The sequence below is a fragment of the Homo sapiens genome, chromosome 11, assembly GCF_000001405.40.
Source record: "Homo sapiens chromosome 11, GRCh38.p14 Primary Assembly".
In the NCBI taxonomy this organism is placed as follows: Eukaryota; Metazoa; Chordata; class Mammalia; order Primates; family Hominidae; genus Homo; species Homo sapiens.
The window spans coordinates 89,462,365-89,489,711 of NC_000011.10; the positions used below are offsets into that span (position 1 = coordinate 89,462,365).

The 27,347-nt window shown below is 34.1% G+C and overlaps 1 protein-coding gene across 9 annotated transcripts in view; it reads right to left on the minus strand.

Moving 5' to 3' along the window:
* NOX4 (NADPH oxidase 4) overlaps positions 1-27,347 on the minus strand; it is a 265,205-nt gene that overhangs the window by 138,012 nt on the left and 99,846 nt on the right. Inside the window, exon 3 of one of the 9 annotated variants that reach the window (NR_120406.2) lies at positions 26,485-26,629. The gene's annotated coding sequence lies outside the window, so the exon portion shown is untranslated. 9 annotated transcript variants of the gene reach the window in all.

A 27,347-nucleotide genomic window follows, 5' to 3' on the forward strand; every position in this document is an offset into this window, starting at 1 on the left:
GCCGACTTTCAAATGTATGCAGAAATGCAAAACAGCAGAAACAAAGTAAAACACTAAAAGAAAAGGAGAAATAATTTGGCCTTCACATAATAGAACTTACTATAAAGTTACAGTAATTCAGAATGTGTTTCTTGTGTATAGATAGATAAACTGACCAACGGAGCAAAACAAAGACCCATAAACAACTATATAAGTATCAATTATACATATATAGATGGCATGTCAGATTAATGGGAAAAGAAGAGTCTATTCGATGAAGAAAAACATTGGTTATCATATGCAAACAAAATCACGTAACATCCTTGTTTCAAACCACCCCAAAACATTAGTTCCTGAATAGTTAAGAACTTAAATATCAAAATCAAAATTCAAAACTTTTAATAGAACATAATATATTAATCTTTTGGACATTAGCGTAGGTATGGATTTCTCAAGACATAAAAAGTTAGAAATGAATCAAAACAAGTAATATATTAAATATACAGGCAAAATAAAACTATTTTTTTCAATGTTAAAGAAAGGAGAAACTCAAAATTCACAATAGTGGTAATCTTTTGCAGGAAGAGAGAAGAAAAAGATAGATATATGATAAGATAACCAAATACATAGATGTAAATTACTCACAATGTTCTAATTCTAGGTGTATGTATGGATATTCATTATATCATAAGTAATTTGTATAAAATAAATAAAGGAGGATCATGTTTAAATTAACAAATTGGGATAGGAACTGAGGAATATTAGTAATCAGATTCTGTCCATTTAATAAAAACAAAAATAATTATGTATGTAAATCGTTTAATTGAATGCCTGTCATATAGCAATAATTCCTATTAATAATAATAGGAACACTATTCTCTGGATTACCACTGAATTCTACATCCTAGATCAGCTGTGCTTCATACAAGCTAATTACAATCACATGACACAACATAATTTTCAAAGAATCAGTTCCCTTTGGTATTGATGCAATATTTTTTGGCAACAAGTTTGAATCATAACTTGTCATCTGTTGTTGTCTGGTACAATCCACACTTTTTATATGAATAGTGTATACAAATATAACAAGAGATGGGGTCATATCTGTATATTTTTCCTGAAGTAGGCCACAAAACAACTCTATTTTAATGACACTGACTAAGAATATGTGTAAGACAGATGCTTTTCTTATCTTGAATTTGTTCACGTGCTTGATATTTCCAACTTAACTGTTGGCAAAATGTCAACTTTGTGTTTATTGTCAGCATATGAAATATAGTTCCTGAAAGGGAGACAGGATAATAAATAGTGTTTTCAGGAAAGCAGTAATTTTCATTGACTGATATAAAAAGCAATTAATATGTCCAGTTAGGTTATTTCTACATCTTAAGTTGGAACACCTTAGGGATACAGTTTAATGGATATACCAGTAAGTGGACAAATAGATATAATACCTTCTGGACTATCTAAAAAAGATTAAACATGATTTTCTATCTCAATCAGTGAAATAATTATCATTTGAGAGTGATAGGTTTTTCTTGTTTATATAGGCTTCCAGAGAAATAGAATAATTATCTCTTTTGATCTGGCATTTGCATATGATAAGAACATTTTAGCTCAAAGGATTGTATATGACAATTGTATTTGTAGTTTTAATGTAGCTGAATAGTTAATTTAAAATATATCACCTAAAATCTATAACATAAATTCAGGAATTAAGAGATACAAATAAATCATCCATATTTCCTTTGAGATTCAATGCTTTAAAGAAAATTTTTATATATCTTCATTGTCTAACTATGTATTGCATGTCTGGAAGTGTTTTATTATTGTGTTTATATTAAATCCCACAGTAATTTAATTCAAAGTGGATTTAAGTGTCCCCTTGGGATAAATAGAGCTTATTTTAACATCAACTTCTTTACGATTCTGCAAAACCCAACTGGAAATTTTACCAAGAACCCACTTTCTCATACATGTTTGTTCCTGAATATAGTTAGTTTTTTAAACTAAGAAGAAAACTTTTTACTAGGTTTTCAGAGTACAAAAGGTTCTCATTCAGAAGCAGTGGAGTGAGGAAAATGGAGACGGACCCATTTTTAAGTGGCAAGATTATAAGAAAACATTTTATCTAGTTACTACATGAGCAATATTCTATTAGCTAAACAGATTGTTTTGTTTGATCATTATTAATCCATAAGCTTCACAAGCATCAGTTACTTCAGGTGTTTATTTTTAAAAAATGACTGCTCTAAGTTATGTGTCCAGTCCATTCTATGTGAATGATTTGTTTTACCCTTCCCAGCTACTCCAGAGTTTTTTAATTTAATCAGGTTAGTTGTCACTAGATGGAAGTGTTATTTTCAAGTTACAAGTCCCACCTGTCAAGGTATCTAAGATACATAATCAACTGAGGATTCCATATGTAATTTTTAAAACTACAAATAGATTTAAAATGAGGAAGTATAAACAAAACAAAGATTAGTTTTTGTTATGAACTAAATGCCGTTTCTCTCCAAAATTCATTTGTTGAAGCCCTAGTCACCAATGTGATGGTATTTGGAGTTAAGGCCTTTGATACAAAATTAGATGTAGATGAAGTCATGAGAATGGAGTCCCCATGATAGGATTAGTGCCTTTATTTTTAAAAAACATTTTTGTTATACTTTAAGTTCTGGGCTACATGTGCAGAACGTGTAGGTTTTTTACATAGGTATACACGTACCATGGTGGTTTGCTGCACCCATGAACCCATCAACTACATTAGGTATTTCTCCTAATGCTATCCCTCCCCTAGCCCCCCACCACCCAACAAGCCCCAGTTTGTGTGCCCTCCTATGTCCATGTGTTCTCATTGTTCAACTCCCATCTATGAGTGATAACATGCAGTGTTTGGTTTTCTGCTGTTGTGTTAGTTTGCTGTGAATGATGGTTTCCAGCGTCATCCATGTCCCTGCAAAGGACATGAACTCACCCTTTTTTATGGCTGCATAGTATTCCATGCTGTATTTGTGCCATATTTTCTTTACCCAGTCTATCATTGATGGGCATTTGGGTTGATTCCAAGTCTTTGCTATTGTTAACACTGCTGCAATAAACATACATGTGCATGTGTCTTTATAGAATGATTTATAACCCTTTGGGTATATGCCTAGTAATGTGATTGCTGGGTCAAATGGTATTTCTATTCTAGATCCTTGAGGAATTGCCACACTGTCTTCCACAATGGTTGAACTAATTTACACTCTCACCAACAGTCTAAAAGCATTCTATTTCTCCACATCTTCTCCAGCATCTGTTGTTTCCTGACTTTTTAATGATTGACATTCTAACTGGTGTGAGATGGTATCTCATTGTGGTTTTGATTTGCATTTCTGTGATGACCAGCAATGATGAGCATTTTTTCATGTGTCTGTTGGCTGCATAAATGTCTTCTTTTAAGAAGTGTCTGTTCATATCCTTTGCTCACTTTATGATGGGGTTTTTTTTTTCTTGTAAATTTGTTTAAGTTCTTTGTAGATTCTGGATATTAGCCCTTTGTCAGATGGATAGACTGCAAAAATTTTCTCCCATTCTGTAGGTTGCCTGTTCACTCTGATGGGATCTGATTAAACTAAAGAACTTCTGCACAGCAAAAGGATTAATGCCTTTATAAGAAGAGGAGGACACCAGAATACCTCCTCTCCTTCTCTCACCAGGTTAGGATACAGCAAAAAGGCAGCCATCTGTCAACAAGGAAGAGGGCCCTCATCAAACCCTAAATCTATTGACACTGTAGTCTTGCACTTCCCAAGCAACAGAAAAATGTTTGTTGTTTAAGCTGCCTAGTCTATGATATTTAGTTATACCAGCCTGAACCAAGACAATCCTATAGAAAAATATTTTAAATGCCATTTAAAGTAAGTTATTGAAGAACATAATATCTAGGTATACCAAGCACATGGTTATTTTCTTAAAATCTCAAACAGTTTCTTATCTTAAATATCCTACTTAATAAATATTAATTTTGAAATAGTTAATTGAGAGGGATACAATTTCCTTACCTATAAAACAAATATAACATAATAATCCTAGCTGTTAGGGCTTTTGTGAAAAGTAAACACAGTCTAAAAAATGCAGGCAGTATATAGAGTTAACTTATTGCCATAGGGTCACTGGATCACATCCTTTCACTAAACATTGGTCTGTACTTTTAAAGTAAGTGCTATCTGTTCCACTTATATTATTAATCGAACACATATTTATTGTAATCGGCACATATTTTGGGACACTAGGAGTTCAATAGTGAACTAAAAACATAAAATTCCCTTTCCCTTAGGCTGCTTATGTTTTAGTAGAGGAAATACATTAATCAAATAACTTGATAAGCAAATACAATTTGTAACAGTGATAAATGAGAAACAGAGTATGAATACATGTAACAGGAAATCAGATCTAAATGGGAAGATCAGCAAGCCTTCCTTGATTAATGAAAAGTATAAAGGAAACTGAGATCTGAAGAATAAAACTAGAAGTCAGCTAGAAATAAGAGGGACATCCATGCAGGGAAAAAAGCAGCATGAGAAATGATGTGTAGCAAATGAAAACATGGTGTATATGTAATAAATAAATAGTAGGCCAATATGTTTCATTTGGAAATGAAGGGTAATGGAACATAAAGCTGGAGAAGCTAATTGGGGGGAGCTCGCTGGACTTTGTAGGTTACATTAAGAATGTCTTTATCGGCCGGGCACGGTGGCTCACACCTGTAATCCCAGCACTTTGGGAGGCCAAGGCAGGCGGATCACGAGATCAGGAGATCGAGACCATGCTGGCTAACACAGTGAAACCCCATCTCTACTAAAAAAATACAAAAAAATTAGCTGGGCCTAGTGGCGGGCGCCTGTAGTCCCAGCTACTAGGGAGGCTGAGGCAGGAGAATGGTGTGAACCCGGGAGGTGGAGCTTGCAGTGAGGCCAGATCGCACCATTGCACTCCAGCCTGGGCGACAGAGCCAAACTCGTCACAAAAAAAAAAAAAAAAAAAAAAAAAAAATTTGTCTTTATCTTTTTATTTTATTTTATTAGTGCAGAGCATCTCTCTCAGTCTGCTCTGGATGCTTTAAGAAAATACCATAAACTGTGTGGCTTATAAACAACAAACATTTATTTCTCTCCATTCCGGAGTCTACAAGTTCAAGGTCAAGGCAGATTCAGTGTCTGGTTAGGGCCCACTTCCTCATAGACAGTGCCTTCTGCTAGCATCCTCACATGGTCACTAACTAGTGCTCTGAAGCCTCTTTCATAAAGGCACTAATGCCAGTCATGAGGGCTTTACCTTCATCACCTAATCACCAAGTCACCCAAAGGCTCCACTTCCCAACACTATTGCCTTAAGGGTGAGGATTTCAACATATGAATTTTGGGGGGACACAAATATTCAGTCCATAGCACAGAATGATTGTGTTTTAAGCCAGGAAGTGGCATGAAGAGATTAGTATTTGGCGATGATTATTCTCAATGAAGTGTGGACAACAGATGTTAAGGAAGTAATTTTGGCAATTACATTACTTTGTATAGTTAATCATCGCATCAGTAAAATTTTGTTAGTGACAAGGACTACATTTCAAGTTAATTATGTGTGTTACATATAGGAGGGATTCTGTTGTGACTAAATATTTTACTTATCAGTAAATTTATTTTGCTAAATACTAAAACATATAATTCTAAAACTGGAAATCTGAAAGGGCCTAGCTCATACTGTACCTCCCACCCACTGTCTAAACCCCTTCTCTGACAGTCCCCAACCAAAGGTAACCTACACTCTGTTTGAATTCTTCCACATAACAGGCTGTTCCACTGTTCTATTTTGTTTTCTTACACTAGGATGAAATCTGTGTCTCTGTAACTTCCACCCACAGAGCTACTCTGCATAATAATTTTCCTAAGACAGACATTCAAAAACTGAAGATAAAAGTGGTATAATTTCCTAAATCAATCTTGCTTTCTCCATGCTAAATACAATTAGTTGCTTCTACAATTGTTGATATAATTTTAAGACTCCATCATCTTTGTGCACCAATATTCAGTACATTCTTGACAAAAGGTCATTGCCCAGAGCAGTGCTGAAGACTATCGTCTCTGTTACTACGGATGCTATCTGCTAATTTTAAGATTGTGTTATCTTTTATGGAAATTATGTCACATAAAGGCTCATCTTGAGTTTCCAACATATAGGTTTTCTTCACATGAATTTCCTATTAAACAATGATCCCTTTATCCTATACTCAAAAGAAAAAAATGGGAGCGGGTGAGAGAAGGTACATAAATGCAAGAATTAACCTATTCTATTATATTGGTTGTGAATTCTGTATTCTTATATTTTTCCCTCTCATCTTTGCCTCAGCTAGAAATTTTGATTTTCATTTATTTGTTTATTTTTAGAGACAGTCTCATTCTGTCACTCAGGCTGGAGTCCAATGGTGTAATCACAGCTCACTGCAGCCTGGAGCTCCTGGGCTTAGCTGATTCTCCCACCTCAGCCTCTAGAGTAGCTGGGACTACAGGTGCATGCTACCACACCTGTCTAATTACTTTTATTTTTGTCTATTTTGCCTAGGCTGATCTTAAACTCCTGGCCTCAAGTGATCCTCCAGCCTCAGCCTCCCAAAGTGCTAGTATTACAGGAGTGAGCCACCACACAAGGCCTGAAAGCTTTACATTTATGTTTTTCACATCTTCATCCAAATTTTTGGCAAAGCTATTAAAATGTACCAAATCCTATGAAATAGCTGACTCTAGAGAGGACTTACAAACTACCTGTTTTGGCAAATTAACTTTCAAATGAACATTTTGTTCTCAACTGGAAATTTTCTCAACAAATTAAGGGAACATAAGATGATATTCTACATGTAAATATGTACACTAAACTATTGTTCAAAGGGAGTTGAAAAAGCCAGAGAGGTTAGTTTGAATAATTGGTCATTTTTCTGGGTGCTTCTTGGTGAGTCAACAATTAGGAAAACAAAATTAAAAATAACGAAAACTTAAAGTGATAAAATATTTTAAAATTCTGATTTGGCATTGGTGTTTGTCTAAAAATATGTAAATTTGTGCTCATTGTGATCAATTTTATTGACTCTTCTATCCCAAGGAAAATTTTAATCAAACCAAATGATGCCCATACAAAGCCTAATTCTTTAGTGCTTTAGAATAAAAAATCTGTAGTTCTTTCATGGCGCCTTACAAACCATCCAGTTCAACCTTCTTTTTGCCCTGTTTACACTGCTAGTTCATAAAGCTGCAAGAATGGGAACCCAAGTCTCCTCTTCATGGTCTGTGTCACTTCCCTTGCAATGCATCACTCCCCAGAACAGAGTTGCAAATTCGGACACCTTGCCTAATGCTCTTTCCGTATTTTTACACTTTCTTACTCTTTCAGTTGCTTATACTGTTACCCAATCAACAAATTTTCCTCTCATTTTATGTAAATCTTGACAAAGGCTTCTCATATTGGACTGTACATAGTTATTACCTGATGGGCTATTTTAAAATAAACCACTTTCTACTACCAAACTTCTGAAGTTGTTATTCCTTAGGTCTCGGGTGGAGTTCTGAGCCAGGATCAGCACTCATTGATTTAGAGGACAATTTGAAGTCACATAAACCTGAATATGAAGCCCCTTAACTAGCTGTGTGGTCTTAGGTAACTATGTGACTTTATCTCAGTCTCATTTTCCTCATCTGCAAAATGAAAATAATAATAATAATAATAATAATAAGATACCTACCCCAAAGGGTTATTGTATATATTAAGTGAGCATATATAGTATTTAATGCAGTGCTTGACATATAGTAAGAAGTCAACAGAAGTTATTATCATCATCCTAGTGTCCCTTGTCATCCACACATTTAAACTAGTTTCAGAATTTAAATGAACTTATGGCATGGCTTCCTACAAATCTCCAGGCTGCCTTTCCAGCCACAGCTTTGGAAAGTGACATTCTCATTGTAGTTGTATAAACTGAGCTTTATTTCACTCATATGATCTAAAGAATTCAAAGAAAGTTCTAGGCAACTATGTGTTCTATAAATATATGGTGGATGAATGAATGAATGAATGAATGAGGCTAAGAGATGATCCTTCAATGCCCTTATTTTAGAAAAAGAGAATACCAAAAGTGATTACCCAGGAAATCCAGTTAAGATCTGGAATCAGAACTCAGGACATACACTTTCCATCCTCTTGCTCAGGCTCAGCAGCTCTGCCTCCACCCTCCACTCTCTCTCTATTCCACCACTTCAGAGGCTGGGATTGCCTCTGGAACAGCACCCAATTAAAGAAAAGTTTCAAAGCCACTATAGCTTTTCTATGAGACTGCGTAGATGATCTAGTCCAACCTCCTTTTTTTTGGTCCCAACTTATATTCCAAGTCAGTAAACAGGCCTAACTGATGATACCATTAGGCTACTTGGCTACATATACTTTTATATTATATGCCTCAGTTTAGCTCCCAGATGCATTATGAAGATTAGCTAACCCAAGTTGTTACTACCTATCTCAGTTGACACTACAGATCCACAGCTCAGACTGCTGCTATCCCTTCTATTTGTATTGGCATTGTACCTGTTCCAACCCCCAGGATAACTACCAGATGGACTCTTTATTAATCTTTCAGTCACAAAGAAAGTGAAGAAAGTGTCCGAGTGTCACTTTCTCTGTAAGGGCTTGCTAGGGCCCATATCCCTATCTCCACCCTCACTTATAACTCTCCAAATTTCCCTTTTACATATATTTAGACAAATCTGGAGCATCTTTCTCCGTGTTTCCTTTTTGCCTTTCACCATATCTCTCCTAGAGCACTTAATTCTTTCTATTATAATGGTTTACGTATTTATCTCCTTGTCTCCCATATAAAGCTAGCAAGGGGCTGCACAGGCAAGTGGAAAAGCCCAAACTGCCTCTTACCTTTGAGGACCTCAAAAATGCATGGTTATTAATAAATAAAATTGTTTCTAATAAGTACTCTTTGGGGAAAATATGTTCTGAGCAACGAAAGTCAACAAAAAATAGTCACGAGACAGATACATGAACAAAAAGAGAAACCACATAAAGTAAGCTGTACAATTTTTCAAAGCTATGGTAAGCATATTTTTATGGTCTATATAGTAATCAAAAAGGTCTATGGCAGAAAATTGGAAAAAATTTATTTTTCCTATGCCTATAAGTCAAAACTGTAGTCCTAATTAATATCACTAGGTTCATATCATTAATAAATTATAATGGGAATAAAAATTTTGAATATAGTAGGCATTCCATGGGAACAAGACTGCACTTAAGAATAAAAAATGACATTTCAGTGAAGGACTGATTAAAAAGCTGATTACCTAACTTTTTTGATTGTTTTTGTTTGTTTGTTTGTTTGTTTGTTTGGGTTTTTGAGACAGTCTCTCTCTGTCACCCAGACTGGAGTGCAATGGTGCAATCTCAGCTCACTGCAACCTCCGCCTCCTGGGTTCAAGCTATTCTTCTGCCTCAGCCTACTGAGTAACTTGGATTACAGGTGCATAGCACCACACCCTGCTAATTTCTTGTGTTTTTAGCAGAAACAGGGTTTCACCAGTTGGTGAGGCTGGCCTTGAACTTCTGGCCTCAAGTGATCTTCCCACCTTGGCCTCCCTAAGTTCTGGGTTTACAGGCATGAGCTACTGCACCTGGCCTTTATTACCTAACTGTTTTGATAAGGTTATTTTGATAAGGTTTCATATGAAAACAATGATGAAGAACATGTCATGAGTAACCAGAAAATGATGAACAATAATTGAAGCAATCATTTCTTTTAAAAAAAATTCTGAAAATAAACTACCAATTCAGTGTTCTTGGGGTATAACCAAAAGCTCATGTATGTACCTTAATGCCATAATAAACCATAATTCATTCCAAATGATCCCAGCTCATTTCTGTTAACTAGCTTCCCTGGAGACTTTTAACTATGATGTAATTTTTGACTCAAGTTGACCTATCTTCTCATCTATAATCTGCTTTTTTTTCCTTAATACTGTCTCCAAAAGAAGCTATCAATTCTAAAGAAAAAAAAGGTGTAATTTTTTTTTCATAAAACTAAAGGGGCTACCAAAAATATACAGTTCATAATGACTTTATATTCAGATTTCCTTATGCTTAACTCAAATCTTTTCTATTTGTTTTATGTCATCATTTTTTTATCTACGCTTTCTAAAAATGACATTCTTCCATTTTCAGTGGGAATGTGGTTTTTCCCTAGAAAAGCTATTAAAAGTCAGAAGGACACATAGCTATTACAGAGAGAGAAGAAAGCAGTATTATAACATATTTTTGTCCCAATTTTGTCTACCTTGTCTTTCCAGTGCCAAAAGCACAGAGGGCAGAAAACATTCACTTCTAGACTCTGTGCCTGTCTGGCAAAGTTAAACTTCAACATAAATGGCATTCAGAGTTGCATATGAACACAGCCAGGGGTTTCTAAAGACAATATTGTCTAGTGAACAGTTCACCAGGTGTAAATGATTATGAAATTTTAATCACAATTAATACCTGTGACCTCTACCAAGGCCACTTGTCTCCAGAACCTAGAATTGAAGAATTTGAACAACAGTAAACACTGCCTTCACTTTTCCTTATAGAAATGTATCAAGTGAAAAAGGTTTGACCTCTTTGGCTGAAAAACATTATTGAAGTGGAAATATTTTTTGGTTCATCTATTAAATTCCTATCAATATTTATACCCATCCCTTATTCTAGACATCTTTCTAAGTCTCAACAAGGTTTCAAAACTTACAGAGCATTTGATTTTATGTCACTCTTACATTTTCCTCCCTCTACAGAAATTATCTGTGCACAGGAGAAGGCATGGAGAAGTTGAAAGTGTTTTGCAGAGAGCATGGTTGACTAGATAACTGAAACAGGCCTTGTGTCTCCTACATCATGGGTTCAGCACATCCGATCACAATTACTGAGCGTTTAGTTACCTCTCATCTACTCCTCATCAAAAACAATCATTCCAAAATGTTGCCTCATTCCTCTTTATCTTTAAACCATTTTTAATTTTTCAACATTCCTCTGAAAATTAGAAGCCAAAAAGATATACTGGTGGCCTGAATAAACAAAAAAAAAAATGAGAGAAAACGCACATGACAATGATACCTCTTCATTTATTGGAATTTTAATCAGACTATCCATAATGATATATATTAAAACTCATATAGTGAATATAGGATATTCAATATAAAGATCTTTTTCTCATGTCTCCTAAGCATAGCCTACTTAAACATATTGTCTATTTTACTCCTCCTGAACTCAATCCTATTTCTTATTAACTTTTACTAATTGAATCTATAAAATTGTTTTTAAATTCTATCTCTGTCCTCAAAATACTAGCAATCTTAGCTAACTCGGCATGTCTTTTAACTATGACTTTCAACTTTTGAATGAAGTCGACTCTCTTCCAGTCTTTCCTTGGGGAAAAAAAACAAAACACTGCCTCCAAAATAAGCTATCAATTCAAAGAGAAAGAACTCTGTATGCAAAGAAAGAGCCAAAATGCCTAACACAGTAGGTACTCAGTTAAGAGGGACTAAATGAATGGATAATTTGGTACAGACTATTTTCCTAAATTTCCTGATATATACATGTTAAAGCATTAGATTCTTCTGACAAACTCTTCACAGAGTTCAATTGGCCAACATGCAGTGGACCACACTAGTGCAGTTGTTGGGAAAATAACGTTTAGTTTGGTGCAAAATTAATTGCGGTTTTTACTTTCCATGGCAAAAACCACAATTACTTTTGCGCCAACCTATTAAATTAAATCAAACATAAGATGATGTATTTGTAGTCCTCTTTTCTCCAATTGACAATCACTGCATAGTTTCCAAATGTTACAAAAAAAGGTTTACAGCATCAGTGCCACATTTTTACAAAGACAAAGGAAATGCAATTCAAATTTAATCTTTTTTTTCTCTAAAAACTAATATTGAGTAAGACCAATACATCACATCTTGGAATTTCTTTAAAAAGTAAAATGACATACAGAAACACTTTTCTAATTGTACAAGTAAATTTCTACAAGGATATTCACTGCCGTATGATCTATAATACCAAAAAAAAAAAAAAAAAAAAGGAATTAAAGTTGTCCAACAATTGAGAAATGCAAAATAAATTATGGTGTACATTATGGCATTATGGTGCACTATGTAGTCATTAAAGATAAAATTAATTAGCCTCACATAATAGAAATGAAATAGTAATATCCATCCAGATTACTGAATAATATGCACATGTATATATGTGTATCTACATGTACAGTCATTGATATATAGACATAAACATAAATGAAAGCGATTCAGGTGGTTACTTCTAAGATGTAGAGGGAAGTTTCTATTTTTTTCTATTGTATCATCAGTGTTTAATATACAGAATCAGGTATTTCTTTTGACATTTAATATATTTTAATAATTAAGTACCAAGAATTCAATGGATAAATAAGCCGTACAAAGTCACAATAAAAGAAATTAAATGGGTTAATATACTTTGAAAATCTAATAACATGTCCAAAGGACATATGAAAACAGAGGGGGTATTCTACACAATGATGTTTTTCATTGCAGTTTATAAGTCAGTAAATAACAGAAGCCAACTGCATTTGCAGAAATATGGGAGTGTTTAAGTTTTGTGTTTTATTTATTCAGTGAAATATTAAAAATAAACAACATATGCTTAAGGAGTTTGTGATAACAGAGATAAATCTAATGTGATATTTATGCTACATTTTACAGTAGGAAACAAAACTGTTGATTCTGAATGATCACACTGCTACTTAAAAAAATAAAAAACTTGTACTGAGGACATGCACCAAAATGTTAATGGTGGTTATGTGTGAGTGATGATATATATAACATTTTTTAATTTTCCCCTATTTTCTATAATAAATAGGAAAACAATTAGTAAATATAAAACAGTTATAAGAAAAATTATTTTTCTTAAGAAAATAAGGTAGGGCAAGTCTTAAAAATACAATTTGAAGAATAATATTGTCTTCAAATATTGATAATATTTAAAAACTTTCCATTTCTACTTTTGTGCATTTTTCATTATTCCCTAATGGTATGCATTATGTTCATACTGGAAAATGCATGATAAACTTCTAAAAATTACCTTGAAAATATTTAATGGCTTAGGATGGAATCTTTCAGAAGGGTATTAAGCTGCTGATCCCTTTTCTTCTAGACTTTTGATAACTGAGGATATATTAACGTAAAGCGCAGGCTTCAACAGAATAGGTTAGGATGAGATGGAACGGGATAGGACAGGACAGGACAGAATACAATAGAATAGGAACAGGGAAGAGATAAAATTATAATAATTGATATTATACTATAGCAATCTAAGAAATAAGAGGGGTTCCAAGTAATATAGGGAAGAAATATTGAGGCACTGGGAGGGCACAATGGACAAAAATTCCTGACCCTTTAACACTACTAACTGGCCCCAAACATTAAGTATTATCCAACCTCTGGTTCGCTGGTGATATCATATTTCCATACTATATTTCTTATGGTTTGCTTTTCTTGTGTGCTGTTAAGACATTTAGCAAACAATTTTGGAAAAAGTATTTTAACACATACTACAATTTTAATAAAGAAAATCCTAATATCCTGCCATGTACAAAACAAAACATCTCCACTCATATTCCATCTCACAACCTTCCTAACCTACGATTGCTCATTAGGGTTGGTACAAGCTATCTACTATACTGTACTTTGCAGTTCAGGAAGTTAGGGTGAGTTGTTTTCTACTTTTTTATTTACCTGTCTTTTAAGAAAATCCATTCCACTATTTGCACCTATCCTTTTAATGTTCTCTTTTATATTTTTTATTCCATTGCCTAGTACTCCCAAGCTTGATGTTACATTTGTCAGGCTTGTTGTTTTTACTGTAACTATATATATGTAGCTTTTTTTGGTTAAATGGTTACTATTATGCGCAGTTCATAAGAAAGATATATAGAAGTTAAATCATACTTAAAATACTCACTACATTCATTCCCTACATCACACAATATACTTTAGTTTTCTTGCTGAAAACTAGTTATTAAAATCAAATATATTAATATTTGTAAACTCATTCCACATGGTGATATTATTTTCACATTTATCCTAATCTGACTAAATCCAACTCCTATAACAAGTAACTAAAAAAATGCTATTTTTTAAACAAAATGAACAACTTATTTGTGCTCCTTTTTAAAAGAAAACCTAGTAGGCAGATCCAACAAAATACCATATAATAATTATATTACAACAGTATCCTTTATATTCATGATGATGCTATTTGAAGCAGCAGGATATTAGAGGTAATCTGAGTTTACATGCCTGGAAGAATGGATATATAAAAAGTGGTAGATGCAAACAATGGAATACCATGTAGCAGTTGGTAGCAAGAAACAAAAGAAGCACACGGCCACATAAATAGACTTCAAAAATATAATAACAGATGAGAAAAATTAGGAAACTAAATAAGTCCTATGATCCAATGCCATTTTTGTGAATTAGAAGATACATATACATAAAACACCGAAAAAAGGATAAACATCAAGCACATTAGAAAGACTGCTATTGTAAGGGGGAGAATGCAGTGGTCCTCAACCTTTTTGGCACCAGGGACTGGTTTTGGGGAAGACAATTTTTCCAGATTGGTGGAGGGGGCAGTGGTGGTTTTGGGATGATTCAACTGCATTACATTTATTGTGCACTTCATTTCTAGTATTATTACATTGTAATATATAATGAAATAATTATACAACTCACCACAATGGAGAATCAGTGATTGCCCTGAGCCTGTTTGCCTGAAACTAAATGGTCCTATCTGGGGGGTGACAGGAGACAGTGACAGATCATCAGGCATTAGATGTTCATAAGGAGCTTGCAACCTAGATCCCTCCTGCGCAGTTCACAATAAGGTTCATGCTCTTAAGAGAATCTAATGCTGCAGCTGATCTGACAGCAGGTGGAGCTCAGGTGGTAATACAAGCAATGGGGAGCCGCCGTAAATACAGATGAAGTTTTGCTTGCCTGCCAGCTGCTCACCTCCTGCTGTGTGGCCCGGTTCCTAACAGGCCACGAACTGGTCTCTGTCTGTGGCTTGGGGACTGGGGACCGCTGAAAGAGTGGGATTGGATAATGGAGAATGATTAAATTGATAAATTAATGAATGAATGAAGAAGAAAGTAAAAGGAAGTCTGGCACAGACCCATGAGGATAGTGTGTTATGAACTGAGGTATATGTTTAATTAAATATCCTGTACTTGATATCAAAAAAGTTTTTAAAACTTTTTTGTTTTTATGGAAATAATTCACTGTTACTCTCCTATAAAATGGGTCTTTTTCATGTGTATATCAATTTATGAGCTGCTTGACGAAGGTTTTATAAAGGCCAAGAATTTGGGAGCTAAAATGTGGAAACCACAGCCAATTGGAAAACAATTAACTGTGAGCTTAAATATTTTTGAAATTCTAACTAAGAAAATAATATATACTGTCATTGGCAAAATATTTTTTCATATCACTTCAAAATGCATGCTTTGCTCTAAACTAGAAGGTATTTTCTCTTAACTGTTGGAAATTTTTATAATCATTAACAAATGTTTATAAATAAATTTCAACTTCAAAACATTCTTAATTCCAAAGATGTTTTCTGAAATAGATAAGTCTTAGCATTGTCATAAATTTGTCTACTATAACTTGCCGTTAGGATGAAGGGAATTAACACTTTTTGAGAGTCTTACACTCATTTCTTCCTCACCTTGGTTAATCTTTTCCTCTCTTTCCCTGCCCCTGTCCCCTGACAAAAAAAAATCTTATAAGCGATATATTAGGTTAAACTAAACACAGGTTAACCTAAATTGTCATTTTTGTAAGTCAAAATGTTTCTATATTGAAATTTTCATGTAGCTCAATTAATAATATAAATCTCAACTGAAAACTGAGAAAACTAAGGCTTTCAAAATTTTAATAAATCATTTACAGGTATATTTGTTAAGAGGTGAAGTTGAGATTTCAACTTAAATCAATTTTCCACAAAATCCATGTTCTTTTCATGACATCATGCCACTCTCACTGATATTGTCGACTTTTCACAAATATTACCATAGTTGATATTTGAGCTGATAGACACTATGTGCTCAGGAAAAGGTGATAGCAGACACTTGATTTTATCAAGAATCAGAATGACGGTCATAAAGGACTTTAACGAATTAACTTTCATATACCTAAAATTTGTGCACTGAACAAAATGTATTTTCTTCAAGCATGACACACTCATTTAAACCCAGTACAAGTCTAAGACCAATTTTCTTCAAGTAGATCAAAGTTAAAGAAACCCTGTAGATCCATTCTCAGCCCATAAACTAAACTCTTCCAAGATTTACGTTTGACTCATTCTTTCACTCTTATGTTTTTTAAAAATGTACAAAATCAAAATAGTAAATGTTAGTTCAGTGATGGGTTCTACACAGTCCAAGCCCATCTGCAACCCCAGAGAATAATCACTTGAGCCAAGGAGTTTAAGGCTGTAGTGCACTATGATCATGCCTGTGAATAGCCACTACACTCCAGCCTGGGCAACATAATGAGATCCTGTTTTGTTTCATCTTAAAAAAAAAAAAAATGAAATGTGGCCAAGGAAAATCAGTGAGAAATAAAAGTAATCTCATCACCTTATCTCCTAAGTATTCTCAATAGGTGGTTATTTTCTTGTTCTACAACTTTCTCATCTTATGAGATCTTCACCCTCCTTGAAGTCTATGCTTCCATATAAGGTAGAGTAGCAGGGATTTTATTCAGTATAAGATGCTAAAGGAAAAGCACGTAAAGGAAGACATATTGGAAGAAAAGGAAGCTTACAAAGAGAATCAAAAGTATAGCATGGGGATAAAAGAAACTTGTTTGGATCACTGCCACTCCAGATCCTCCCACCGGACCTTAGCTTTCTATGATCACATTAATGAGATTATTTGCAATTTGAAATCAGGTATTTGAAAATTTGATCATAAAGAAAAGAGATATAGTCAGAAAGGCATTCCATATAATCTTTTCTTTATTATACCCTATTGTTAAAATGCCTCCATTAGAAAAAAAACACTCAGCTATATAAAATTATTATACTTTGGTTATATCACTCATCTCTTCTTCCCTTAAAATATATCAGACCTCTGAAAGTCTTGATATGTGTCTGGAGACCTTGAACAATCCTTTCATGGGTTCCCATATCCATGAAAACCTTTGATAGTTTCCATTTAGAGATGAGAGCCATTGTCAAATTCAACTTTCTAATTTCTAAAGATGAACACAATTTCTACTGATTGAGCAAAGTCCTTCTTTTCCTTTATTTACTTTTCCTTTAGTCTCATTGTCAGAACTGAAAGTAAACTACTTTTCACTAGACACTAACTTTTTATCGCATTGCTCGGGTTTTATTATATCACAAACTTGCTTTAGGATGTAATTCTAGGAATCACATAGACTCACTCACTACCTGTGTAATTTGCTCTTTCAGTCATCCCTTGGCATATGTGGGGGATTGGTTCCAGGATCCCCACATATAACAAAATCTGTGAATATTCAAGTGCCCCAGTGGGCCCCATGGAATTGGCCTCCAGGAAAAGTCGGTCCTTAGTATATGCGGGTTTCATATCCTGCAAATCCACATTTGGTTGAAAACAATCTGCATGTAACTGGACCTGCGCAGTTCAAATCTTTGCTGTTAAAGAGTCAACTGTATATACTTGTTTTGCTATTAAGTACAACATGTAACAGACTTTCACGATCCCACTTCAACAGTCACACTGCAAAGGTAAAGCATATTGCATGCTAAGGGTTGACTGCCATTTTTTTTGGCATGAAGACAAACGTCTCATTCCTTTCTTCAAACTTTCCTTAATGATGTCCAGGGGAACAATGTCATGGCACCATGACTGGAGCCTTAAAAGCTTTGTGAAATGATAGGAGACAAAAACACGACATAACAACAGTCTTCCACATCTGTGAAACTTAATTCTTCAAACTACTTTCTTATGTATTAAGTCATAATGCTCAGCACAATATTCTGAGATAAGTAGAATATTTCCATCATGTTTTCCTGGGGTATAAAACAGTAAGGTGAATTATTTTATGAGGCTGTGAAGGATAAGAGCAGAGGGAGGAAAGAAGACGACTGACATTTTTACAGCTCCTATTATGGAATAGACTTCATGTTAGGTGCTTATAATCAATGCGCAAATTGCTTACAAATTCTGTTCTTTAGCTTCCTCTCATGAATAGAACCTACCTTGTAGAATAGTGGAGACTGCAGCAAAGAACATAACAGGAACTTGGCACAATGTCAGGCCCATGAAAAGATTGCAATGAAAGCTAGCTCTAGCTATTATTATTATTTATTTTAATTTTCTTTAAAATTTATAGTAATCTGAGATAGGTAATTTATCTTATTTATCTGTTGAAATTCCAAGATTCAGTGAAGATTAATAAAAAGTATTAAGTAATGTTTTGTTGAATGAAATATGTTCCACCTCAAACTAAAATTCCACCCAAGAATCATAGCCAAATTGCCACAAACTTTTTGCCAATAGCAAATAGCAGTAAATAGCCTTCCTCTCTCCAGAGGATCAGGGAGGCAGCCAAAGGTCAACCAAAGGACTGAAGGTAACATGTTCCTACTGACGAGCAAACATACAACCTCATCATCAAACAGCCATTTATTAAGCACCCTTGTGAGCACTGAAATAATAGATCAAAGGGTAAATCTCTGTCCTAGGTGTCATCTCATATGCTCAGCATCTGTATGCTCAGCAAATCCCTTCCATCTTTATGTCTCTGAATTCTTTTTAACATATATATGTTATATATATATGTGTGTGTGTATATATATATACACAATACAATATTACCATTTGGTTCTATTCATAATATTGATGCCATTAATACTAATTACCATTATTTAATATTTATAGTAATAGTTATCAATTTGCTGAATGCCTATGTACCAAGTGCTAAGCACTTCACCTGCATTTTCTCATGTTGTCCTTCCATCTAAACTAAGAGTAGGGCTTAAGCCCTATTTTATGAGTAGGGTTTACACCTAGGCTGAGAGAATAGTATATCAAAATCACAAAGGGAGAGAAATGCTTAACCACAATTGAAATTCATATCCATATGGCTCCAAAGCCCATGACCTTTTCAGTAAGAAATTATAATTATTTTTCTCTCCAGAATTACTTAGGCAATTTTAAAATCAGTTTTATGATAAACACAATGCTTAGCATGATAGACATGAAGAAACACTGACCAGGAGTTAGAGGACCTACATTCCACATTCAGCTTTGCACTGAGTCCATAAAGAAAGCATTTAACTATATGAAATTCATCCATCAAACAGGGTAAATGGACTAGAACAGTCCACAGTTCTACAGGCTCCTCTCCCTCCAGGCTGAGCATTGCCCAGAAGAAAGTATATACAACTATGACTAGGACTAGGGCTACGACGACTGCTACTATTATTGGCCTCAGTGGTGTGCAAGGTAAAGTAGTTCCTCAATATTCCCTACTTCCTTTTCTGGGAGTCAGTTCCCTGAATTCATACTCTTGATGCCAAGATCTAAAAAATCAAAATAAAATATTGATGCTACTCCTCAGAGGTGCTAATTTATCTGATTTTCTTCTTTGAGGTAATGGAGGGAATAAAGGGTTGTGTAAGAGCATGTTTAAAATAGTTGTAGGGTAGGGCTAAGAATAAAGCTCGACAAACCTCTAAGGAGGAACATTACAATACCTTCCTAAAAAGGCCTGGGAAGGACCCTTTTGCCATGTCATTCTGGAATGCTAGTGCTCAGCTGGGCTTCTACAATTAAGGAGAAAAAAAAATACATTAACTTCAAATTAATTTCTCAAAATGCATGCTTAGCTTCCAGAGGAAGACTGACAAAGTTGGTATTTGTACCAAGTTGAATTTAACTCACAATGTAACTATATTTGGACACAATCTTTAAAGGGGTAATTAAGGTTAAATGAGGTCATTGGGATGGGCCCTAATCCAATATGACTGGTGCCCTTATAAGAAGAAATTAAGACATACACACAGAAGGAAGGCCATACAAAGACATTGGAAGAAGAAAGCCCTCTATAAGTCAAGGAGAGAGGCCCTCAGAAGAAACCAACCCTGCTGACACCTTCATCTTGGACTTCTAGTTTCTAGAACTATGAAGAAATTTCTTTCCTTTAAACCACCCAGTCTGTGGTACTTTGTTATGGCAGCCCTAGCAAACTAACAGAGTAGGTATTAGTTATACAAGTCCACCTCATATATAAGAATAATGCATATATGCTTGAATTTACTTCTGATCAAATACTTCTTAACAGATACAAAAAGCACACTAACATGCAAACAGCAAACAGAGGGAAACACAAACAGTATATTCAGCACCACCATGGCAAAATGTATAAGGACCTTAGACAACAGTAGAGAATTGCAGGTTCTAACACTATCTGTTTCAGAACCTCACCTGGAAAGCAGAGTGATTGAGAGCATGGTGTTCAGTTTCAGACAGGTGTGGGCTCAACCTGGGCTTCTCTACTAGTCAGCTATGTAACCTAACTACTCAGAAAGTTACCGAACCACTCAGAATCTCAGTTTCTCAATTCTGTAAAAAGCAAATAGTTCCTAATCTAAGCTTCTTAATTCTGTAAAAATCAATAATTCCTATATTCTACTGTTGTTACAAGGATTCAATTAAATATAAGGATTAAATGAGATTATAAAAGGGGCCAAGAACTGTGTCTGACACGTCATATATAATCAATAAATGGTAACAGTTGCTATTAGGTTGAGCCATATAAAATGGCTGATTTTTGACTGTTTCTGATCTACCAATCTATATGATTCAACCTAATATTAATGTTGCAAAGAAACAACAGAGCACAATGGCTCAGAATACAAATTTGGTCAACAGATAAATGCATAAAGAAAACATGGTATGTATACATAATAGGATACTACTCAGCTTTACAAAAAAGAAGGAAATCCTGCCATTTGTGACAACATGAAAGGAGACCTGAAGGACATCAAGTTAAGTAAAATAAGCCAGGCACAGGAAGACAAATACCACATAATGTTACTTATATGTGTCATCTAAGAAAGAATGTAACCGAATTTACAGAAGTAGAGAGTAGAATGGTAGTTACCAGGTGCTGGTGGGGGTGGGAGGGGGTTGGGTAGCTGTTATTCAAAGGATACAAAATTTCAGATAGACAGGAAGAATAAGTTCAAGAGATCTATTGTACAACATGGTGACTATAGTTTATAACAATTTATTCTTGAAAATTGCTAAGACAGTAGATTTTCTGCTTTTATCACAAAAAAAGATAAGCATGTAAGGTAATATACATGGTAATTATCTTGACTTAGCCATTTCACAATATACACATATTTCAAAATATAATGTGGTACACAATAAATACAATTGGCATTTGTCAATTAAAATTTTATAAAACAAGAATACAAGTTCTGGAACCAGGATCTTTGGGCTTGAGTCCTGCTTCTGTCCCTCACTAGCAAGTTATAGAACCCCTCTAACTCAGTTTCTCAGCTACAAAACAAAAACTTGAAATCATGCCTTCCATACTATGGATGAGAGAATTAAATAAATTAATCAGTGCAAAGCTCTTAGACTAAAGTCTAGTATTAGCCAGTTATCACTGAGCACAATCTGTTATTGATATTATTCATATCATTTATTAAAAAATAAAGATTTGACTATCTTTGAGATTCATTCTAACTTCCAATTCTATGCTGTTTGGGATGATATTGATAAAGGAGAATTATGCAGTTAGCATTTAGCTATATATCACAACGAGGTTAAATATTGAGCCTTAGAATTCTGAAAAGTATTGTGAAATCAGAATAAATTTAAATAAAAATGCTCATAATTCCTTCACAATTTATTGGCAAGTCTCAAACAACTATAATACTAAAAATATATTTTATTTTGAGAGTAAATCAATCATTTTCGCTAGCTTCTTAAATTGCTAGACATTTTAAAGTATCATTTCACCTAAAATGTAAAGCTAGTAGTCCATACAGTGTGGGGTTTAAAATGTTCTTGCGTGTGTTCATACAGCTGTTCATTATAGTGGCTAATATTGGACTAAGGAGAACAATAGACTAAATAGTGACCAAGTCACTAATTCAGTAGGTGATAGTGAACAAATCACCTCAATCTCATTTTTCCATTTCGGAAAATGAAAAGTTAAGTAAAGATATCAAAGTTTCCTTCCAAGTCTAAAACTCTATGAATCAGTGTCTATTGTAAATAGATAAAGAATATAATTTCATCAAAGAAATATAACCCATTTCACCCATCAATAAACAAGAAAATTGTGTCTAAATAACAGAATGTTAAGAATAAAAACAAATAAGCAAAATAACACTCATCTAAAAATGTCCCCTGAATTGTTATCATAACATGTGCCTGAGCAACTCTAGCTAGTGATTTTACAGTCTGTATAATTAGGATTTAATGACCAAATCTCTTCTGAAAGTAACAGGGATCATATATTCATTCTCAGCAGAATTAAAGCTGCCCAGGCCAGCTGTGAAACTAACATTGACTTAAAATCCTAGATCCATTTGTCCAGAGACTCCAGTCTCTGACCTTAAGAAATTCACATGACATCAGATTTCTGTCTCTGTAAAATGTTATGATATAACTTCTAGGACTCTTGAGAGGGTAAATTAGTTAATGTTTCTAATGGATAATGATTGACTAAAGAAAGATAATCCCAGTGTTTCACTAGAAAGAATCTGAATGCTCAAGAGCATAGATATTTCAATAAAAGTTTAAAAAAAGCTTCAAGATCATGCAGCAGATCTAAAACAATATTTGTGAATAAAAGCAAAATAAAAATTAAAATCTTATCCTGACACCATGTGAATAACTAGTTTGAAATTGAATAGTTTGGAGGGAAAAATATAATATATATAACTAAGACACATTGAATATATATATATAACTAAGACACATTGAATCTGATATCATAAAATCATTCTCTTTTCAAGTTAAAATGTTTATGGGAATTACATGATATTCTTTAATTATTAAAATGTAAAAAACGCAACTCAAAACAGGTAAACATGAATTCAAGAGCTCCTATAAATGGTGTTTTGAGTTAAACTGCTCCAATATTTCCAAAAAAAGAAAAGAAAACTACATTTCTGAGAGTTGAACACAACCTGTTACTAATTTCTATAAAGTTCAGGCAACTACATTTTCCATTCTTGAAAATAAATAAATGAAAATGGATTTAATCTTAAGCAATCAATGAAGTGACTTATTTAAAAGGTTGCCATGGGGGAGTGGAGCAGGCTATTGTTTGGTTTGTTGGTTTGCTTGTTTCGGTGTTCATTTTGGCTTCTCTCAATAGATTTTTTTTTCCTCTTAGCTAATTTTAAGATTCCAAAACTCATGACATGTCACAATTAAACATCTCCTAGGAAGTGCACAGTCTGATTAGCACATTAACTCAGGCATAAACCAGCCATGACCACGTTGCCTCCACTCTGGATCAGACCAGTCTGGGGAAGGATAATCATGATGAGAACCCCCAATAAAACATATTAATCCCAATGTTATATTTTATCTTCTAGCAATTAAGATCTTATTTTTTCTATCAATTCGTATGTATTTTTTTTACTCTTTAATTTTATTACGAGAATAATAACCCAGAAATAAAAGTGGATACTCTAGTTCTGAGAAGTAAATACTTTCACCTTCATTCTCAAAGATTCCCACCTTCAGAAAACTCAGAAGATGAGACAGAAGTCAGGGAGATTTTTATAGTTCTATACCAATTTTATTTATTTATTTAAATAAATAAATAAATAAATTTATTTATTTAAATATTTATTTATTTATTTAGCTGTGTCACCCAGGCTGGAATGCAGTGGCCCAATCATAGCTCACTGCTGCCTCCAAACTCCTGGGCTCAAGCAATCCTCCTGCCTCAGCCTTCCAAGTAGCTGCAATTACATGCATGTGCCACCACGCCCAGCTAATATATGTGTGTGTGTGTGTGTGTGTGTTTGTGTGCATATATACACATATATACACATACATATATATGTGTATATATACATATATGTGTGTATATATGTGTATATATACATATATATGTGTGTATATATGTGTATATATACATATATATGTGTGTATATATGTGTATATATACATATATATGTGTGTATATATGTGTATATATACATATATATGTGTGTATATATGTGTATATATACATATATGTGTGTATATATGTGTATATATATGTATATTTTTTTTATTTTTGTAAAGATGGGGTCTCACTTTGTTGCTCTGGCTAGTCTCAAACTCCTGGCTTCAAGCAATGCTCCCACCTTGGCCTCCCAAACCAATAATTTTTGTAGTTCCACAACTTCCCATCCTTTGACAATTCCTGCTTAGTAGAGGAGGAGCAAGAGGACTACCCATGTCCTGATGTCTCTTTTACAGCCTGGTTAGTTGGCCACATATTATTAAATAAATGTCACTGGTTTCTTTTTCCTTTTTTTAATGTGCTACTAGAAAACTTTAAATTATATATATGACTTGCTTTATGTTTCTGTTGGGCAGCACTGGTAAAAATTAATACTAACCAGTAGTATAAGTATCTGACATGGACCAGTGAAGTCGTTTAGAAAAGCTACGTAGTATGATGAAAAAGCAGAGGTCAGACAGGGCTGTATTCAAATCCTAGCTCTGACACTGACCATTAAAAGGTATTTCAGCGAGTCATACAGCTTCCTCAGCCCATATTTCCTTGTATGTAAAACAGAGAGAACAGTTTCCCAGCTTAAACAAAACATTTGTAAAATTCCTGGCATATCACAGGTATAAGTAAACATTTGAATAAAAAGTCATTCTTCAATAGAAAATAGAGATTTTCAAGCAATTACTAAGAATTAACTGTTTCTCATTGTCTGTGTCTTCCAATAAATGGACCATATTCTGTGGGTCCTTCCTGTACTAGTACAACTTTGTTATTACCTTACATTTCACAGACGAATGACAGCAACTTTATACTCAAAGCTATTATCAAAATGTTCAGCCATGAAAGTATTGTTTCTATTTGCATTTTAAATGGTACAATGAAATACATTTCCAGAAATAACATCATGATTTTTACAAACCTAAAATCCACCTAAAAGAGACTTATAATATACCTTGACTCTCTTCAGGAATCCCACATGCGTATACCAGTGGGACCAAGTGTTTGCTAAGTTCTAAGATGCATCACTCTAAGATGCTAAGTTAATAACATATAGTTCTTAAAAATGTAAAACATCAGAACCAGCAATATTTATTTAAAAATTAATTCTATCTCTTTGTTATACTGCATTTCTTTGCAATTTGAAAAGTGCCTGCAAATTGTTACTCTATGAAATAATGCAACACTTATTATAAGATTAGAAAAGATAAGCCTAGGACATAAAATTAAACACTACTTCATAGATAGTAAAACTGTAGAAGGAGTTTCTTTTCCAATAAAAGGTAATATACAGACTGAAAATACCTATTCCAAAATAGCTTAGATAAATTAATGACTGGAAAATTCATAACAGATAATTACTGAGAAGTTTATAAGTCATATTTTATCTCTCAGCATGTAGAAAGACCATTCCTGTCCACAGTGACTCTTGGTAAAATGGAGAATACTTACCAGATAGCTCAAATATCAACTCACTATAATTATACTTGTGTGTTCTTAAAAACTAATTTATAACAACCTCTCCTTTCTTGAATCTGTTTCTTATCCTTTATGCTCCTAGTCTTCCATTTGGTCCTTTTATCATTTTTTTTCTTCATTCCCTTGATCAATATTTATTGAGCCCTATGTGTCAGCAGTCCTTGAAGCTCATTACCCTGTCTGTTATTCAAGCAGAAGCAGTGAAGTGGGATGGAAGTAGAGAGGTGAAACATAGTTTAAATGTTTTCCAAATTTGTTGGTTTATGTTTCTGTGCATATGTGATCTTAATCATATCTGACTTACCACCAAATTAAATTTGAAATTCAGTTATACAGTATCCAAGTTCATGAAAATTAATGAGTTGGTTTCCAAATAATTATTTTTTTAAGAAATAAGATGTTATTTTAGCTTATACTATCTCACAAAGCTAAAATCCAAAGTTCAGTTATGGCTTTCTAGGTTATTGCAATAAATTTCCAGTTCTTAGATTTTTATATTAATACAAATACCTCGTGATCCAGAGCAAATTTTACCATTCTATATCTAAAGAGTTTTCTCCAAGTTGTTCATCAAGTTATGTAATAGATGAGATAAAGCTTCCACTGAAAAACGTCCTATTCATTAAGTTACACCTAATGGGGAAATACTAGAAAACAAAACCAAAAAGTTATCAGACCTCATGTGTTTATTAGAAGAAACCTTTTCTTGTTTATTGAATTATAATTATTTATTTGTTGGTTTTTCCATTATATTGTAAGCAACTTGAGGGGCGAGGTGAGGTCTTACTCTCTGGGTGCCCATCTGAAATGTATAGGTTTCAAGACAGTTCCTGGATTGGATGGATGAAAGAAATAAATGAAATGGGTTTAGCTTTACAGACTATTTTTTTCAACCCATTGGCTTAAAACCTAGAAGTTAAACTTTATAAAGTGTGTGATCAACAGATTATGATATTACTTTGTTGTATAAAAAATTAATTAATTAATTCAACTGCAACTTGTTGCAGGCTTAATATGTGCCAATCACTAGTCTGGGTACTGAGAATTACAGATAAATAAGATCTCTCCATGTAAAACATAGAAGGGAGAGCTGGTTCCACTGAATTTGTCTGAGCTCGTCTTAATTTTAAGTAGTCATTAAACCATGAAAAAAAATAAAAAAGCAAAATGTGTTTTTTTCTGCACCCCCCCACTCACCAAAATGCAAAATCTATTTTTTCAGGTTCCCTAAGTTTTTGCAGGGTTTTACACTTTTTGCTTGTTGCTTAGAAAATGCAATCTCAGCCGGGCATGGTGGCTCACGCCTGTAATTTCAGCACTGTGGGAGGCTGAGGCAGGCGGATCACTTGAGGTCAGGAGTTCTAGACCAGCCTGACCAACATGGTGAAACCTTGTGTCTACTAAAAATACAAAAATTAGCCAGGTGTGCTGGTGCGTGCCTGTAGTCCCAGCTACTCAGAAGGCTGAGGCAGGAGAATTGCTTGAACCAGGCAATCAGAGGTTGCAGTGAGCTGAGATCACTCCACTGCACTCCAGCCTGGGCATCGC